General features: G+C 37.3%; 1 protein-coding gene across 16 annotated transcripts in view; it reads right to left on the bottom strand.

Annotated features, from left to right (window-relative positions):
• The window catches only part of CACNA2D1 (calcium voltage-gated channel auxiliary subunit alpha2delta 1), a 497513-nt gene that overhangs the window by 442046 nt on the left and 34034 nt on the right, over positions 1–21433 (bottom strand). The gene's annotated exons all lie outside the window — the stretch shown is intronic.

Raw genomic sequence — 21433 nt, forward strand, 5'->3', positions numbered from 1 at the left:
TCATAGTATCTCTGCTGTTAGCAGCTTTAGGGGACATGAGAGTGGCAGGAGAATATAATCAAGGGGGCAAAGGGCAAGCCAGGTGCTACAAGGAGCACCAAACTTGCGGTTCCAGTTGCTTCCCCAGAGTGGGATTTTGATTTCATGTGAGGGGAAAAAAAGTTTGCTTAAAGTTTATATGAGGTCCTGTACAGTGTGCACCTTCTGCAGACGAGAAAAGAATGCTTAAGTTTACTGTAACAGCAGTATGTTTAAGATCTCTCCTTAAGATTTTATCCTCTAAACTTTTATTTCCAGAACAAAATGAAAAGAAACCCTGCAATTAAAACACATATATTAAGGTAGGCCGGGCACGGTGGCTCACGCCTGTAATCCCAGCACTTTAGGAGGCCGAGGCTGGCGGATGACTGGAGGCAGGGAGTTTGGGACCAGCCTAGCCAACATAGCAAAACCCTGTCTCTACTAAAAATACAAAAATTAGCTGGGCATGGTGGCACACACCTGTAATCCCAGCTACTCGGGAGACTGAGACAGGAGAATCACTTTAACCTGGGAGGTGGAGGTTGCAGTGAGCCGAGATGCCGCCACTGCACTCCAGCCTGGGCAACAGAGCGAGACTCCATCTCAAAATAATAATAATTAGTATATATATATATATTTATATATATATATATATACACACACACACATTATGTGTATATATGTAAAGGTATATGTATGTAAAGGTAAACAAGAAAACAAGGATGGGAGTTTTTTTTAGTCCCTTTTGTTTCTTAGAAGTTTCTTAATAGCCAGTTTTTTTTATAGAAAGTTATTATTTTGACTGTTATCTCTGCCACCCTGCAAACCTCTTAATGCATGCTCAAGATTAACGAACTTTGAATGTTCATGTTGATAGTATTTAACAAACACTTTGATCCCAATATTCATTTACGTATTACGCATGCTCTGATTTTCATAAAGATGTCCTGAGTTCTTCACTTCCATTCTTAAATATATATTCTGTTAACAACACAGCATTTAGAAGTACAGAATGCTAAATGGTATGAGGTGTTATCTCTACTGAACTGAACTCCTAGTCTCCCTGCCCCCTGACATTTCTAATCAGGAAGCTGGCCCACTTAGCTGATGTACAGATTCGATGCCTCATTCTTACTTGATGTATGACCATAGAAATTCCCCATCTCTATTAGAAACCCCCAGTCTCTGTTTCCCCATCTTTAAAACACAGTTAACTGTATTTAATTTCCTGGGTTATGGGGAGAATAATATGAACTAAGGTATATATCCTTAATAAACTTAAAATAACTGAGCAGAGTGCCTTATACACAATAAACATTCCCATAAATAGATGTAATTGTTTTGAAGTTAAAATTCTGACGTGTTTGTTTAAAGTCTCCATAAGTTAAAATTTATTGATAAGTTAAATATATCTCACGTGTTCTTTGTGTTGTTACTTGAGTTTTTAAAATTGCATATGCAACATGAGCTCAGGGGAGAAGACACTTCCAGTCTGCGGAAGTTTCTCTGAGGTCTTCAGGGAATAGGACAGAAGAAGCAAAATAAAGATGAGCTCATATTCCAGAAATCTGCAAAGGTTTACAGAAAGGGCAATGTAGGTGTGGCTCATTTGAATGACAATCAGTAGAACACTCTACTCAAAGTCAGTGAAATTAGCTGTAGGAATAAGATTGGAGACAGCAATTCCTTTCTAAGGTCTTAACCTTCCTCTAACAGAAAGTGGAGTCAATAACGTATCTGTGTTCAAACCTTTGTATTTCTTTGGAGTAAAAAGAAAAACCTCTGACGTGATCATTATACACTGTGTACATGTATCAAAATATCACATGTACCCAAGCAATATGTATAATTATGATATGTCTATTTAAAAATTTAAAAAAAGAGAGAAAAGTCTCTTGGGAAAGTTGGTATTCTCCCTGCTCTCAGGTAATTGAGCAAACCTGGAGTTGAAATAGGGTTGAAGCTTGAGAAGCTCTTTAGGGATTTCTTAAGGCAAATCTTAAGAACTAAAACATCAACAAGAAAAGTCAATTATCGAAGAAGCTAATGCAAAATGACTAGCAAGAGTGTAAAATGCTACTTCTAGAAAAGTGGTTTATGGAGCCATTACTGTGGATGTGTATGGTTCCAGAGATCCTAGGAAGCCCAGCCCCCATACCACCTATTCAAACGACTCATGTGATATATTTTTTCCTTGCAGTGTTTACCATTGGTTATGGAACAGCACCACCCTCACACACATAAAAATGTACAAAGCTCTGTATCCAATATAGAAAACATGAATTACTGAAGAGACTAACAGGGTTATAAAAATGAAAAAAATTTTTTTAATCTTTTCAAAGAAATTATATTATTTTTAGAGAAATTTTTCTTTCATGATATAGTAGCTCCATTTACTAAGGGTAGTTTTATTTAAGGCTCATGCTATCTTGACATTCACCTCCTTTTTTTCCCCATGAAAAACATAAAAGAGATTTGGGTTTTTTCCTCCTTCTAAGGTAGACAGTGTGGAAAGGCAGAAAAAAAGGCCAAAACTCTGCCAAAAAGCTGTACATCTAAGCAAGACAACTGGCCCATTAACAAATGTCTCCATCAATATCTTACCATCTGCTGTTTGTACTGTACTTGTCAATATTGAGCATCACTCACAGTTCATGTGACCATATAAAATCTCAGAAAGCACAGAGTACCAAGGTGGGAAAAAAAAGCAAATTCAAAGATGGTTTTAGAATCTGACAACACATTCACCACACAAGTATATAATTAGATGGAAACAAGTTATGTACTTTGCATGCTTTATGTGTCAAAGGAAATTCCTCATAATTTCTAACAGTAGATTGATTATGACTGGCAAACCATGCAGTGCAGTCTCCACTTCTCCCTCTGATTCACCTGACTTTTTGCCCACTCATCTAAATCAGAAGCTCAGATTACCAGATTAAGCTGCTTAAATTCAGATCAGTGAATTTTAATTATTCATGTTATAAAAGGATACTGATGTTGTGGCACACTTAGATAGGATATAGCCCAAAAATGTTACACTGGTTTTATTAATAAATACCTTAAATGTTTTCCAACAATACAATTTTTTTGTCTTTTATGTTTTGTTTCTTTGCACAGATTCAAAGGAAGCAGAAAGCAGGAGTTGTTTGCAGAGGTACAATTGATAGTCCCATGTGACGGAATTTAAAGGGGACTGGAAAGGGGATTCCTTAAGGGAGATCTTAAGAACTAAAACATCAACCAGAAAAGTCAATTAGCAAGGAAGCTAATGCAAAATTAGTAGCAAGAATGCAAAATGCTTCTTCTAGAAAAGTTGTTTATTGAACCATTACTGTGGATGTGTATGGTTCCAAGATCCTTCCCAACTTTTGTCTTTCTGAGTTTGACATAAACTTTCCTATTTCATTAAATATTCCTTCATTTGAAAATATTGCTGTGAAGAGTGACACTGATAGTGGCAAGAAGCAGACTAATCCCTAGGCAGACAGGGGCAGGTCCCTGGTGAAACCAGACCTTCAAGCCAAAGACACTTTAAAACCTAAAAGCCAAGCTACAAGTTAAATCCATGGACTGGATTAAAACCCTCTCTTCCCATGTGGCACACTTTCCTCTGATTGATCCTTACCCTTCACTTAGTTTACATAAACCTACCCTTCCCTAATTGGTTTTTCATGCTGTCCTGCCAACCTTTGAATGATGCCTTTGTTTTAGCCTCTTGCATACTCACAAACCAATCAGCACGTGCTCCCCCATTATGAGCTCATAAAAGGCCCAGACCCAGCCACACTGAGAGAGACAGACCACCCAACTTCAGGTGGGGGGCCACCCTCATGTCCCCTTTCTGCTGATAGCTGTTCTGTTGCTCAGTAAAATTCTTCTCTGCCACACTCAGCCTTCAGTTGTCGGAGTAACCTCATTTTTCTCAGACGCGGGACAAGAACTCGAGAACCATCAAACATGGGTACAAGCCGTAATGCAGGGGGGCTGGGACACACTCTGCCCAGCCATGGGCTGAGCTGGTATGCAAGCCAGGCAAGGCCCAGTGGGCTGAGTGAGTGTAACACCTCCTGTGGCAGGCCTGGGGCCAAGCAAGGCCTAGGTGGGGGCATTGCTGGCCACAGAAGTCCCTGACTGGCAAAGTGGCCACGAAAAATCCTGCATCAACATGTTCAATCATTAACAGTTTAGAATGAATGAATGTATTAACATGATTGGAGAATAGATAGTATATGAACACTAGGTACCTTGGGGAAAAGAAAATCATTGGGTCTTTTCCCATATCAATACAACAATTCCAATTAGAAATATGTTGCTTTGGATTTAAATGCTTGAGTGCCTCTATAAGGCATTGGGAAAAAAACAGACAATAAATAAATTTATTAGCCCTAACCCTGAAAGATACAGTTATCCCTTTCCTACCTAATATTCTAAATTTAATTTTGCACACAGGTTATAGGTAATTGGTCTTCTAACTCAGTCCTAAAAAATTCAAATACAATAATAAAGAGACAGAGAGAGAGGAAGGAAGGAAGGAAGGAAGGAAGGAAGGAAGGAAGGAAGGAAGGAAGGAAGGCAGGCAGGCAGGCAGGCAGGCAGGCAGGGAGGGAGGGAGGGAGGCAGGCAGGAAGGGAGGGAGGCAGGCAGGGAGGGAGGCCGGGAGGGAGGGGCAATAACACTTTAATTGCCTTGAAACAGCACTTGCATATAAAAATTGTAGCTATATACAAACATGTAGGAGTTTAATGAAGTAACAGAAATGAATTTCATCTTGCAATAGGGAAACATTGACCTCTTATACAAAGAACAGCAGTAAGCATGCTCTTGAACGTAATGAATATATGATCCATGCTGGAGGCAACAGAGGTCTGTGCAAGTTATGCAACAGCTCAAATACCACTACTGTATCCATGTTAACAAAAATATAAACAAAAATAAAAGCTAATAAGATATATATTGAAATTAGAAAATGGGATTAAAAATAAAATTTAAGCCCTTGGCTGTTTTATTTCAATGTAATAGCAGATATAAAAGATGCAGTTTCTCTGCATTCTTATATTTTAATATAACAAACACTGAGAATTGAAAATATGCTTCCAACAATTAAAATCCACCTATACAAATATCTGTCCCTACCAGTGACTAAGCTCTCGGGTGTGGCTACTAAATGCTGCACTGTATTTATACTAAAGCTTTCATTTGCATCTTTATGATATAAACAAGACAGGATAAAACTCTTAAAACATTGTAAAAAAATTATTCCTAATATTCGAAAATTTAAAATCATCAAACAAATGTGTAAAATAATAACATTTGAGTTACTGATATATATAATTTGCATACATTGTTTTATTTACAGATAAACAGACACCTCATAGACTTCTAGTGTAGCATCAGTGAGAAACTAGCAGCAACAACCCTTTGTTGAAATGAGAATTAGGGAGCAACAGAAAGGTGGAGTGAGAAGAGGCAAAGAAAAATTTGCCCAAGGTCAAGTTGAGAAATAAACAAAACTTTATTGAGACTGTGCTGAGAATATGCAATGCAAATAAATAAAGCATATTAAGTTCGCCAATAGAGGCAAGTAAAAGGTAGAATGGGACTCAAAGGAGGGTTTTATTAACTCTAGGTTGAAAATGGAGGGGGAGGGGTCAAGGAGGGCTCCAAAAGACACATTTCTTGATACGTCTACCTGCATTTTAAATCACAATCGAGTGATTTTTATCTTATTCCTCATTCTTCTTTATAAATCTTATAGAGCTTAGAAGAAAAATGACAAAAAGGAAAAAGAAGAAAGAGAAATCTAGATGAAGGGAGGGAAGAAGGGAAAGTGGGAGAAAGAAAAGACGAAACAAAGGAAAAATAGGAAGAAAAGAAACAAGGGAGAAAGGAAGGAAAAATAAAAACCAAATTTTCTCTGTATTAAATGAAATCTATCATCATAGATGATAGGTAGCTAGACAGACAGATGGAGATGGATAGATACAGCCAGGTTATCAACAGCCAAGAGCAGTACAAGTTTGCTTCAAAGACATTTTTTGAGAGTTGTACCTTGTATTTGAGACACAGAAAAATGAATCATTCCTGAAGCGGCAATAAGCAGGTGGTTTATTTCGGGTAAGTTTTTAGGGGCTTTTTTGGTTTTGTTTGCTTGTGTGTTTTCCCAGAATCTTGTTTCATAAAGATTTATCAAATTCAGGATGAACTCCACCATTAGAAGTAAAAGAACCAACTGATTTTCTGTGAGACAAAGAGAAGTGAAGGAGAACAGAAGAAACAGAGGTTCAAGGCAACTTCAAACTTTTATTAGTGAGAATGTACATAAAGCCATAGCTCTCCCCTCTGGGTTTGACTAAAGTGAACCAACTCTTAGATACAAATGTGCTGCCCCAGATGGAGGGCCTTTCTCTAAAACACCAGCTTCATTATTTTTTTATACTTCTTTTACCATCAGCCATAATAATAAAACCTAATGACAATTTCAATAGTAAAAATTAGCATTTCCCATATTTGTTAGTTGCTACTATCTCCTATATTTGCTAAGAATTCTGGTAAACAGTATACTTTTGAAGCATCCTATGGGCAGATAATATAGTCATTCCACTTTGCAGATCTTTTCAAAAAAATGTATCAAATGCCTGTTATATGTTGAGTACTATTCTAGACACTAAAAACACAACATCAAATTAAAAAAAAAACACAAAAAAACTCCAACTCTGATGGAATGTATGATATGATGGAGTAAACTGAGCTAGAGAGAAGTAAAAGATATTTTCCTGGTATTGCACACCAAGTAAGTGACAAGGTCAGTGTCAAGCAGTCTGATTCCAGGACAGCTTCCCTTACACCATGTGGTTTGCTGCCATGGAAGCTAATGCATACTTGCCAGGGGTTATCCACGGCATTCTGCTTTTCAGATTTTAATTTTAACGCTTTGTATTATATTAGTAGTAATTCAACGTAATGTAGTTACATATTTAAAAACCCTCTAAGCGCATGTCTCATATAAGCATGTAAGGCACTTCAATTACTATAATTATTTCATTTAAATTCATTGATAAAATGTGTATTCTAAAAGTGACTGAGGAACTGAATTGAATATTATGCTGTTCATGGATATGAACAATAGCTGAGCACAATTAATAGTCTATTTGGGTACAATTAATAGTCTGAAGGAAGTTGGACTAACAGGCATGCCTACCTGCATTTATAATACAACACTTCAGACCATGGTCAATGTTTAGTATTATAGTAAGTATGTATTTTCTCAGCCTATATGCTAGAAATATTTTCTAGCATAAAGAACACAATAATTGGAATCAAGCAGACTGCTCATTTAACTACTTTGAGTCCCAATCATTGGCATAAAAAAAATAAAATGGGCATAAAACACATTCCCAACATTTGTTTGATAGGCTTAAGGGAGATGATATATGTGAAAATCCTATGCAGACTACAGAATGCAGCATCCTTTATAATTTTCTCTTTTCAGCATTACAGAATTGTTTGGACTTTCTAATATATTTTATTACTTTTAGTAATTACCAGTTAAAATGTTCCTATGCATAACTCAAGATAAAAATAATTCGCCCTTAAACCAACCTCAAGGTTTAGTAGCCACTTTTTTCTGAGTTGAAATTACCTTTTCAGCTTTCATAGAGGCCTTTTATTCTCTCAGCTTTCTCTTTCCAGGCTGGGTGCAGTAGTTCACACCTGTAATCCCAGCACTTTGGGAGGCTGAGGCAGGAGGATCGCCTGAGCCCAGGAGTTTGAGACTAGCCTGGGCAACACAGCGAGACCCCATCTCTATAAGAAATAAAAAATTAAAAAATACATAAATAAGATTTCTCTTTCCAAATCCAGGTTTTGTGTAATTTCAAGCAATGTGGAATTCCAGATATAATCATATAGTTCCATAATCTGGCTCTTTAAAAATGAAGGAGAATATTTGGATAGTCTTAAATCACCTAAGGTTTCTTAATACTAGTATCTGTCAAGGTTAATTCACCACTCTGTGGCTACACAATATATGTCTGCCCTAGGGACTCCTTGTACTAGCTACTTCTTTACGTCTAAATAGCTATTGCTCAATTTGTAATACTGCCCCTCACTTCTATTCACTGTCTGTACCCTTTTACATGAAGCTCATTATTATCTTGAAGCTTGACTTTCCTGGCAGTAGTCCTTCTACTTCTTATATCCAAATAATGAAGGAAATCTAACTATAATGAAACCAAGGCCTAAATTACTACTCAAAATATTAAAGTGTCTGGACCCACATTGGCAACATAATAAGCATGGAAGAAATCAAGTATATGTAGACACAAAAGTTTGCTACCTCCTCATTGAAAAGAACTAAGGTTCCTTTCCATTCATATTCCTTAACTGAAAACAAAAGTCTAACAGAATTCCAAACTAGAGATTAAAGTCCAGTCACATCTTTCCAACCAATTTCTGACACTGTGAATTGAAATGCGTTTCTTTTTGAACTTATGCATTGATTTCTTCATGTCTTTCACCTGTTTCTAGGTTTTTCATAAAAGTTGCATGGTCCTCCCCACCCCACCTCCATTCCACACCGAGTACCAACCAAAATCATTTGGTCTTGGAACCAAAATCCAGGAGGCTTTCATCACTAACTCGCTTTCCCCAAAAGGATTCTGGCTTTTGTTTATCATCAGTACTTGGTCTTTCTCCAACTAACAAGCTCCCTGCCCTCACATGTATAACCTGTATCATTGTATTTGTACTTATAACCTGTATCATTGTATTTGTACTTAAAATAAAAAAATTGAATATTCTTATATGAATCTAAAAATATATTTTTATTTTAATATACCTATACTTGGTATATTTCAGTCTTCTCTTAGCTCTTTATTCTTCTGACATTCTTTTGGTCCTTCGTTTTTTTTCTTTGAATATACTTATCTAACATATATTTGTGTTTATGAAAGTATTTTTATATTGCAAGTGATTATTCTTAACAATATTCATTTTGCCTAGAATTGAGCATTTAAAAATACAGAAGTCTATGCTGACAGAGTACACAAAACAGTGAAGAAATACAAAGGCAAATCAGTGATTAAAATATAATGCAATAAGGATTTTCATGAGGTATCTGCACAAGGAGCAATATCAGTATAGAAAGTAGCAACTGATTCCTTCTGACAGCCAAATGTATTGAGCATATATTGCCATATTAACGAATGTGCTAAGCACATATGACCCATTTAATCATCGTTACCATGCTCTGTGATAGGCGCTGTTATAATCATGAGACACAGAGAGGCCAAAAAACAGAGCTAACACCGTAGCAGAGTCAACATTCACACTGCTTATTAGATAAAACTTACTAGATAAAACTCTGAAAGACTAAATGGCTCTTATTAGACAATAAAAGGGGAAAAGAGCAAACTGGGTGCTGGAACAGAATGGCCAACACCCAACAGTCATGAGTATATTAAGAACCTGGTGAGAGATACCAGTGGGATAGGATTAGATAGATGAAGAGAGTGGCTAAGAATGAGGCTTCATAGACAGGCTATGTCCAACTACTCTTTCGTCTGAATATCTAAAGATGAAGTCACTCCTTAAACATTTAGACTGTATGATGCTAAGATTAAACTACAACTATTAAAGAAGGAAGGGCTCAATAGCCTTAGAGCCCCAGTCCTAACATTTAGGGGAGAGACTAAAAAAGTAAGGAAGAAAGAACACAGCTGGAAGAGAAAGATCTCAATTTCTTCATGATTTTTATTGCAGCAAATCAACAACTTTACTACTCCCTATAATTTAACAGTCTTTGCCACAGTGAAGACAAACATCATTCCATTCAGGAATGTGTAGCAACAGAATTCTCAAATCAGAAAAAAGAATGAGTTTTATCTTTGAAATTCTTAATTATGTGGTGAGTAAATACATATGTGTGTATGTGTATACTCACACTAACATATCCACAGAATTGAAATGCTGTTGTTACACACAACAAAAAATAAGTATCAGTTTACAGATGCTTTGTTCATTTCTGAGCGAGGTCTCACTACACTACCACTTCAGTTTCTTTTCTTTCTCCTTTTTTTTTTTTTCAGATAGGGTCTTGCTCAGTTGTCCAGGCTGAAGTGCAATGGCATAATCATAGCTCACTGCAGCCTCAAACCCCTTTGCTAAAGGGGCCCTCCCACTTCAGCCTCCCGAGTAGCTGGGACTACAGGCGTGCACCACCATGCTGGCTATTTTTTAAAATTTTTTGTAGAGATGGTGGTCTCAACATGTTGCCTAGGCTGGTGTCAAATTCCTGACCTCAAGAGATTCTCCTGCCTCACCCTCCTAAAGTGCTAGGATTACAGGCATGAGCCACCACACCCGGCCCCATTCTCCCCTTTTTTTTTCCTTCCTTCTACCCTTCTTTCCTTCCTTCCATCCTTCTTTCCTTTTGATATTCCTTTTACTCTTTCATTCTTTCTTTTAATTATAAGCTGAGGTGATTTTTATAAGGGAACAGAGAACCTTCTACATTTGAATCACCAATTCAAAGTAGATCAACACACTCACCAAAATCTGGCTGGTTTGTGATTAGTATGAGATGAAGTTTAAAGTCTCATAAAAATCAGAGTCAGCACTAAAAGGAACTCTTGTTTCCACTCAATTCTATTTCTGTATTGTAACTTAGCAAAAACTCTGTTTTATTGGGAGGCCAAGGTGGGCGCATCGCCTGAGGTCAAGAGCTCAAGACCAGCCTGGTCCACATGACAAAACCCTGTCTCTACAAAAAATACGAAAATTAGCCAGGCGTGGTGGGGGATGACTGTAATCCCAGCTACTCGAGAGGCTCAGGCAGGAGAATCACTTGAACCCAGGAGGCGGAGGCTGCAGTGAGCCGAGATCGCTCCACTGCACTCCAGCCTGGACAACAGAGCAAGACTCCATCTCAAAAAAAAAAACAAAAAAACTCTGTTTTAAATAGCTATGTAGAAATTCAACTATTTTCACAAGATAGTAAAACAATTTAGAAAAAAAGTTCTTAACAATGATAAAACAATGATGAAACATCGTTTACATTTCCCATTTATAAACAAGCAGACAGGGAGACTGGCGAATCTTGTATTTACAGTTTTAAATCACTTCCTTTTTATAAACAGATAAAAACTAATTAGAAGATTCCATCTCCCTCCCACTCCCCACCCCCCCAGCCCCCACCCCCACCCCATACACACACCTTCGTTCTTTCAATTTTATACCTTCCATCCCAGAAAAAAAACTAAACAGTTCAAAATGGGGCACTTGGGAGACATCACTGCAACTGACCCCTACCTTCACTACATTAAAGGTGCCTAAACTATAATAGGAAATCTTCTACATTTAAGTCGCTAATTCAAATTCTTCCAGATTTCCAGGTTTGTAGCATCACACATTCATTTATTCAGCCAAATTTGTTTAGCACCTACCACAGGCAAGCTACTCCATTAGGCATTAGAAATAAAAAGATAAGATCAGATAGTTGTAGATATGCGGCGTTATTTCTGAGGGCTCTGTTCTGTTCCATTGATCTATATCTCTGTTTTGGTACCAGTACCATGCTGTTTTGGTTACTGTAGCCTTGTAGTATAGTTTGAAGTCAGGTAGTGTGATGCCTCCAGCTTTGTTCTTTTGGCTTAGGATTGACTTGGCGATGCGGGCTCTTTTTTGGTTCCATATGAACTTTAAAGTAGTTTTTTCCAATTCTGTGAAGCAAGGCATTGGTAGCTTGATGGGGATGGCATTGAATCTGTAAATTACCTTGGGCAGTATGGCCATTTTCACGATATTGATTCTTCCTACCCATGAGCATGGAATGTTCTTCCATTTGTTTGTATCCTCTTTTATTTCCTTGAGCAGTGATTTGTAGTTCTCCTTGAAGAGGTCCTTCACATCCCTTGTAAGTTGGATTAAAAACAAGCAATGGGGAAACGATTCCCTATTTAATAAATGGTGCTGGGAAAACTGGCTAGCCATATGTAGAAAGCTAAAACTGGATCCCTTCCTTACACCTTATACAAAAATCAATTCAAGATGGATTAAAGACTTAAACGTTAGACCTAAAACCATAAAAACCCTAGAAGAAAACCTAGGCAATACCATTCAGGACACAGGCATGGGCAAGGACTTCATGCCTAAAACACCAAAAGCAATGGCAACAAAAGACAAAATTGACAAATGGGATCTAATTAAACTAAAGAGCTTCTGCACAGCAAAAGAAACTACCATCAGAGTGAACAGGCAACCTACAAAATGGGAGAAAATTTTTGCAACCTACTCATCTGACAAAGGGCTAATATCCAGAATCTACAATGAACTCAAACAAATTTACAAGAAAAAAACAAACAACCCCATCAAAAAGTGGGTGAAGGACATGAACAGACACTTCTCAAAAGAAGACATTTATGAAGCCAAAAAACACATGAAAAAATGCTCATCATCACTGGCCGTCAGAGAAATGCAAATCAAAACCACAATGAGATACCATCTCACACCAGTTAGAATGGCAATCGTTAAAAAGTCAGGAAACAACAGGTGCTGGAGAGGATGTGGAGAAATAGTAACACTTTTACACTGTTGGTGGGACTGTAAACTAGTTCAACCATTGTGGAAGTCAGTGTGGCGATTCCTCAGGGATCTAGAACTAGAAATACCATTTGACGAAGCCATCCCATTACTGGGTATATACCCAAAGGACTATAAATCATGCTGCTATAAAGACACATGTACACGTATGTTTATTGCAGCACTATTCACAATAGCAAAGACTTGGAACCAACCCAAATGTCCAACAATGATAGACTGGATTAAGAAAATGTGGCACATATACACCATGGAATACTATGCAGCCATAAAAAATGATGAGTTCATGTCCTTTGTAGGGACATGGATGAAATTGGAAATCATCATTCTCAGTAAACTATCGCAAGAACAAAAAACCAAACACCGCATATTCTCACTCATAGGTGGGAATTGAACAATGAGATCACATGGACACAGGAAGGGGAACATCACACTCTGGAGACTGTTGTGGGGTGAGGGGAGGGGGGAGGGATAGCATTAGGAGATATACCTAATGCTAGATGACGAGTTAGTGGGTGCAGCGCACCAGCGTGGCACATGTATACATATGTAACTAACCTGCACAATGTGCATATGTACCCTAAAACTTGAAGTATAATAATAAAAGAAAAAAAAAGAAATGAAAAGATAAATAAGACATTCATTTATTCCCTCAAAATGCTGACTTCTAGAGACTGGAACTACATCAGTGAATAAAAAGGCAAAAGTTTCCATCCTAGTAAAACACACATTTTAATGGGGAAGACAGAAAATGTGACAAATAGGTAAACCATATAGTGTTTAGTATTTACATGCATAAGAAAAAAAATAAAATTGGGAAATGGGATAGAAAGCGCGAAAGCAGAGTTGTAATTTTAGAGAGGTAGACAGGGTTTAGTTTCTTTTTTCACAGAACTCAGTAAAGAAAGGCTATCTTTTCCTAAAAACTATGGCAATACGATGTGATAAATGCTACTAACTGATTGACAAAATGTGAAGATTACATGATAGAGCTATTGATTGCTGGAGAAATCACAGAGGGAAGAAATCATCTGAATTCTGAAAGAGAAGATGACATTCACAAGGAGGCTGGGAAAGAATAGGCAAAGGAACAGCATATGCAAAGTCAGAGAGGCAGCATTTGGCAAATAATTGCTATTTATCAGCAGATAGTAGCAATTACCATAAAATTCAGAACGTACCATGTTCCAGATACTTTCACACATCATCTTTATTAACCCTCACAATAAATCTGTGGGCTTATTAATATTATTCCTATTTTTAAAATAAGAGCAAGACCAGAATGAAGATAGAAGGAGAGACTTGAAAAAATCTGTTGAAGTGGGCCAGGTGCAGTGGCCCATGCCTGTAATCCCAGCACTTTGGGAGGCTGAGGCAGGTGGATCACAAGATCAGGAGATCGAGACCATCCTGGCTAACATGGTGAAACCCCATCTCTACTAAAAATACAAAAATTAGCCAGACGTGATGGCGGGTGCCTGTAGTCCCAGCTATTCGGGAGGCTGAGGCAGGAGAATCGCTTGAACCCAGGAGGCGGAGGTTGCAGTGAGCCCAGATCACTGCACTTCAGCCAGGGCAATACAGCAAGACTCTGTCTCAAAAAAAAAAAAAAAAAAAAAAAAAAAGAAGAAGAAGTAAAATAGGTTGAGGTTAAAGAGTTTGAATATTATCCTTTAAACAAGTCAACTGAATGTTTTAAAATAAAGAGGGGACATGATCAGAAGTTACGGGTTTTTTTAAATTGTAGACTGTAGTGTGGAGAACAGATCATTGGGGTTGGGAGGCAGAATGATAATAGATTATTATTTATAATAACGAAAGGCTATAATTTAGTTAAAATGTGGCAAAGGCTTGACCTTAGCCAGTAACAGTGGAAAAATTAAAAGTAGGATAAGAAAAACCTGGTAGCCAACTAAATTTGGGTGGAAGGGGAATGGAAGGGCATAAAAAGGGGAGTATTCAGCGAATTCTAAATGTTCTAACTTAGAATATCTAGAGGGTGACACTATTAGCAAAGAAAAGAAAGGTAAGGGGAGAAGACTGGGAGAAGAGAGGACGGAGATAAAAAGGGGTCTAAGTTTGAACTTCTTAAATACATCTTGGTGATACTGAAGTCAAGAAACCCAGTGGGCCTGAAATGATGACCAGACTGATTAGAGAAAGATTTTGGAGGTAATACATTTGAGAATTGTTAGCAAGTATATCTTTGTATTAGTTAGAATTTTTTTGGTAGCAAAAGACAAAAAACTCAAATTGCTTATACAAGTAATGTAAACTCTTTTTGGTCGGTTGTAAAGTCTCTAAAAGTAAGGTGGACTTTCAAGTGTAGTTTAGTTAGGACTCCAGTTCTCTTTCTCTCCAATTGTTCTCAACTTGTCTTCTTCCTTGTATCATGTCATCATGGTTTCACTTAGGGTAGCAAAATCATGTAGCAATCCCCAATTTTATATCTGCATCCCACAAAACCCAGAAAAGAAATATTCTCTTTGCTACTTACTGAACAATAGTGCTAGGCATCTTTCTAGAAGCACTTGGGTGTCACACCCACCACTGTCAAGGTTGAAGAGATTTCACTGATTAACATGGAATCAGCACCCCTACCCCAAACTATATGGATACTACATCATGGGGGAAGACCGGAATTAATGCTGGGGAAGCAATCCCAGTGTCCTCCTCAATCTCCTTCCAAGGCTGACAGTGGCTAATTGTTCCACTACGTAGCAGGATGAAGTTTTTATGAAGTCACATCTGAAAGACAAAAGTATTTTTCTACAATGGACAAACTTTTTAGGATTGAGCTTCCAATATCATCCAAATCCAACTACACTTCCTTACCAGAGGTAATGACAAAGTAAATATTCAGGCTATATGAGAAACTATATTTAAAATGTAAGTAGTGAATAGTTTTCATAAATGTGAACGAAGAAAATCTAGCAGTGTTAACTAAGAATTCACTTTCCTCTTCCTCTATCTGCCTCTCACCCCAATCTCTACAGCAACTCAGTAGCCAAAGGACGACACCAAGGAACACAGACCAAAGAGTCAAAATCTTGGATGGGAGTTCTAAATAAGTTCTGGAAACTCTGGAGCCAAAAGAAAGACAGGGAAAGAGCCGATAAAGCCCTATCACCTGCAGGAAACTTCTGGTTGCAATGAGGACACAGAGTGACATGTGCATCCAAGAGGGCACGGCAGGAACATGGAGAGCGAGGGATCTGTAGTAGGGACAAAGGTCAGAACAGATTGGCTTCATTTCAAAGGATGCTAGATGAACCCTTTCTTTCCGAAGCCTGGAACTGTTTAGGCCTTCCCCAGATCTTAATTGACACCCCTGGTTCAAATAAGTTAGGGAAGAATCCTTAAATGAGTTTAGGTGAATTGTTAACTAGCTTAAGTTTTCTTCTGAGATGGTTAAGAAGGGGTCAAGGTTGAAATGAAGCTCAACTGTGGGGGAATAAATTTAGTTACATTTCTTGCACACTTGTTTTTGTAATGCATTAAAGAATTTTGTTTAAAGCAAAACTCTAATTCCACACTTGGCACCATTTGGTAACTTTTTAAAACTAACTCATTATTTCAGACCCCAGTCAATACTATTAATTTTACAACTGCAGAAAAGAAAATCATAAAACTGTACCCTGTGTCTCATGCAGTGTCACTCTGTAGTCAACAAAAAAGATATTTGCTGGATCAGTGAGTCGAGAGAGAGAAGTGATTTGCCAAATATGGCCCATTAGAGTACTAAGAATTTAGGGTTAGGTTTCAGCATTTGTTGCTGTCATTCAAGTACTAAATTTATATTTACTTGGGACAGTGCGTAGAGTTTGAATAGCAGAATCTAAAGCATGTAAGACACTTTCCTGATTTAGCTCATTTTGAGAGTTATTCTCATTGAGCTAGAATGTTTCAAAAATGGTTAAATACAACTTTTTTGGTACTATGATAACTTTTGTTGAGGTAAAATGAGTTAGCAAATAATACTGATATTCTCTTTATCATTTTTAAAATTATCTAATTACTCATTTAGAAGTCACTGTTCTTGGGATTTCTGGACACAAAACATGCTCAGTAATGGAGGACAATAAATGCTCTCAATTTACAAGTGAAGATGTATGCCTAATTAGACAATAGTAGTAACATAAAAAAATAGATGGTTAACACACTTTCTTTTTAAATGTATGTATCAAATCTGTTAATAGCCTTAGAATGGTCTTTTACTAATAAAAGGACATAAAATTAAGGTTTAAAAATGTAGATATCTAACTAAATTAAGGCATTCAAATGAGCTAAATTTATACCAATGGGATCACACTTACAAATCTGGGAGAAATTACTTTACTTCTAAGTAAAGACATTGCAACATCCCTGGGAAAAATTAACACTGATCTTACAGGAGGCTACTGAGTAGGAAAATGAATGACAAAGTCTAGGAAATCATACTGTGGCTGAATGATTAACAGAAATGCATCTGTGAAAGTTAGAAGGAGATTCCGAGGAATGACAAGTATACATAATATATGTACTTACATATTAAAAAAATGCAAATTATCATGACTGTACAATTGGAACTACTTTTCAAGTGTGGGGATTATAGTTTGAGTGGTGTCTGGTGGAATACATTCTCCAACCCATCATCAAAGTGTGTCACATCCTCACTCTTTCCACTTTGGGTTTATAGTTTAGATGCCTGTGCTACATACAAAAAGAAAAGAATGTATTTTTGAGGAGCCCTGGCTCAGAAATCATAGCTTTGGTGTTCATTTTACTGCTTTTGGGGGACAAATCTTTTTTTATATATATACTTTAAGTTCTAGGGTACCTGCGCACAACGTGCAGGTTTGTTACATATGTATCCACGTGCCATGTTGGTGTGCTGCACCCATTAACTCGTCATTTAACATTAGGTGTATCTCCTAATGCTATCCCTCCCCCTCCCCCAACCCTACGACAGGCCCCGGTGTGTGGTATTCCCCACCCTGTGTCCAAGTGTTCTCACTGTTCAACTCCCACCTATGAGTGAGAACATGCGGTGTTTGGTTTTCTGTCCTTGCAATAGTTTGCTCAGAATGATGGTTTCCAGCTTCATCCATGTCCCTACAAAGTAGGACATGAACTCATCATTTTTTATGGCTGCATAGTATTCCATGGTGTATATGTGCCACATTTTCTTAATCCAGTCTATCACTGATGGACATTTGGGTTGGTTCCAAGACTTTGCTATTGTGAATAGTGCCACAATAAACATACATGTGCATGTGTCTTTATAGCAGCATGATTTATAATCCTTTGGGTATATACCCAGTAATGGGATGGCTGGGTCAAATGGCATTTCTAGTTCTAGATCCCTGAGGAATCGCCACACTGTCTTCCACAATGGTTGAACTAGTTTACAGTCCCACCAACAGTGCAAAAGTGTTCCTATTTCTCCACATCCTCTCCAGTACCTGTTGTTTGCTGACTTTTTAATGATTGCCATTCTAACTGGTGTGAGATGGTATCTCATTGTGGTTTTGATTTGCATTTCTTTAATGGCCAGTGATGATGAGCATTTTTTCATGTGTCTGTTGGCTGCATAAATGTCTTCTTTTGAGAAGTGTCTGTTCATATCCTTCACCCACTTTTTGATCGGGTTGATTTTTTCTTGTCAGTTTTTCTTGTTTAAGTTCTTTGTAGATTCTGGATATTAGTTTTGGGGACAAGTCTTTATCTGTTTCAATCTTAGAATTTTTTTGTCTCATTAATTTGTTAATTTTATGCTTTCCACTTTCTTTTCAACTTTATCCAGATAATTCCTCCCAAAAAATAAATATTCAATAACTATAATGAATCAATGTATGTTTTAGTAATTTCATATGATAGGTCCACATATATAAACACTATCATAACAATTAATTACCCTACTTACTACCCCTCTATAAATATGATAAAGAGGCCTTACTGGCAGATCTGTTAATGACAGTTTTCTGTCCCACCAAAGAATGTGATTGATATAGACAAAGAGTTGCAGCACGGCTCAAATTAACAACTGCCTGACAGGTGTCTTCAACTCTGCTCAAGTGAATTCTGTGACATCTGCTTACCAGAGAGCACACATATAAGGTGTGTGAGCTCACTTTGCTAGACTATGAAAATGCATTTGAAATCCAAAGAGGAAGTAGAAAATGAATTTGACAACCATATTTGAATATCTTTCCTTGGGTTAGAGCTTCTCATATCACTAAATAAGCAAAGTAAGATATGAGTACACCAAATGACTCATAATATTTCTTTACTTCTATAAAATGTAATCCTCTATCTCTCAAATATTGAAAGACTACTACTGTTATTTATTAATTGATTTTTTTCTTGATGGTCTGCACATTGGTCACAAAAATGTCTAGTAAGAGCAATGCTTGCTAAAATTTTTGAATGAAGATTCCTTTTAACAATGATACCAATTTATGCTATTATAAATTCATGAAGATTTCCAAATACAATTTATTAGTAACAACAGCATTGACATACAGTTGGAAAATTGCAAAAATTATTATTTTTAGACAATTTAGGTGGGAGAAAGATAAATAAGACACAGCATCTGCACTTTACATACTATAGTGTATTAAATAAGAGTTCTCTGGATAAGTGTTAATTAATGCAACTCTATTCCTGGGGACTAGACACTGTAGAACATAGTATTTGTTCAATAAATCATTTTTGAACAAATAATCATTTCTATTGAACTGATATAGCCCATCTATCCCTGATAGATTAGGGATTCTATGCCTAATAGATATAGCCCATCTATCCCTGATAGATTATCTTCTAAAATACCTAGAAGATATTCCTCCTTCAATAATCTTCAATGGCTCCCAACTTCCATCAGAATAAAATATATTCTTTGCATTAAAAGGACTACACAACCCGGCTTGTACTTTCTTTTTTTTTTTTTTTTGAGACTGAGTCTCACTTTGTTGCCCAGGCTGGAGTGCAGTGGCATGATCTTGGCTCACTGCAACCTCCGCCTCCCAGGTTCAAGCAATTCTTGTGCCTCAGCCTTCTGAGTAGCTGGGATTACAGGCACCCACCACCATGCCCAGCTAATTTTTTTTTATTTTTAGTAGAGGCGGGGTTTCACCATATTCGCCAGGTTGGTCTCGAACTCCTGACCTCAAGTGGTCTGCCATCTCGGCCTCCCAAACTGCTGGGATTACAGGTATGTGACTCAGTGCCTGGCCTTTCCTTTTACTTTCTTTTTATCTCCTCTCATATCCCTTTACACAAGGCAGCACAGCAGAGTGAGAAGAACAATGCTTTTGAGACCAGAATGGCTGCTGGGACAGTACACGAAACCTGACTTACTAATGTATGATACTTTGTATGACATCTGAATATATGAAACTCTTTGAACCTCTCTTTTTACTAAATAAAGGTAATTAATACCTGGGGGAAGTTGTAAACATAATAATAAAGATACACTTAGCACATACGGCACAGAACAGATCCTGGACATGTACTCTGATACTGTTGAGATAACTTTCTCTCTTTTTTCAATCAAGTTGTATACTTTCTACTTTTGTTTAGTGTTTTCTTCCTTCTAACCTTGGACTGGAAAATCCACCCTATTGTACTTGGGCCTAAATCCTATTCCATTCTGTAAGTCAAATTGAAAGCTACCATTTTACATAAGCACCGTATTCAGGTACCAGGCAGTTGTAAACACAGCGTAGTCAACTAATTACAGATGGTCCCAAGAAATTTTATGTACACAGAGAAGACAATTTAAGGCAATTTTAAGCTACCAACAAAGCTTCAAAGATACTAAAGCTTTAAGAGAAAAGACGTGATGGGGAGGATGGCAAACCAACAACACGGTTAACTTCATAAATGTCATAGCTTCTGTGAAGGCTCTGTGACCTCATGAGCCCAGAGTTGTCACTCTTTTTTTTTTTGCATTCATTATTGAACTATTGTACCTAGCTGTGAGGCACACACAGCTTTGAAATATTAATTATTTCTTTGGCTATATCTATAAGTTCCCCAGCTTGTAATTACTTGAGAACAAATAAAAGGCCAAAATCCATAGTCTTTCCAGTGCCTTCTATATAGTAGGTATTCAACCAACATTTGAGTGACTATTACTTGTAGATTATCAGATACTGAAAGTCTTGTGACTTTTTTTCAATTATGTTAGTACATTTTAAAATGTTTTTTCTGCAAGTCATGCAAGCCAAATATATGTGGATGTAAATAATTCTGAATGCACCTTACAGAGTTCCCCAATTTTTTAAAGGTCTATTTCTTCTGGTAGCCTCTTAATACAGGAAACTGAAATATGAAGAAATAAAGTGTGGTACCCAACATGATGCAAGTATTGGCAAAAGCAGAAACTAGTTACTGTTAGGTTCTCCTATTCAGTGATTCTCAACTTTGGCTACACACTAAAATCATCTGGGTAAATTCTTAAAAATACCAATGCCAGGCCAATTATCCTCATCTCTAGGGTAGGGCCAAGGCGCTGGTAACTTTTTTAAATTCCCCAGGCGATTCAAATGTGTATCTGTGGTATAAAGCCACTGTACCTCTCGTAATTCCAATGTACAATGTGATTGCTGAGAGTTCCTGAGAAAATCATTGCCTAAGGTCTCTTTCGCACACTATCGTTTTCTGGGTTTTAAATACAGTCATGCAACACTTAATGATAGGGATACATTCTGAGATATGCATTGTTAGGCGATTTTGTCATTGTGCAAATATCATAGAGTGTACTTATACAAACCTAGATAGCATAGCCTACTACACATCTAAGTTGTATGGTATAGCCTACTGCTCCTAGGCT

Source organism: Homo sapiens, chromosome 7 (genome assembly GCF_000001405.40).
Source record: "Homo sapiens chromosome 7, GRCh38.p14 Primary Assembly".
In the NCBI taxonomy this organism is placed as follows: Eukaryota; Metazoa; Chordata; class Mammalia; order Primates; family Hominidae; genus Homo; species Homo sapiens.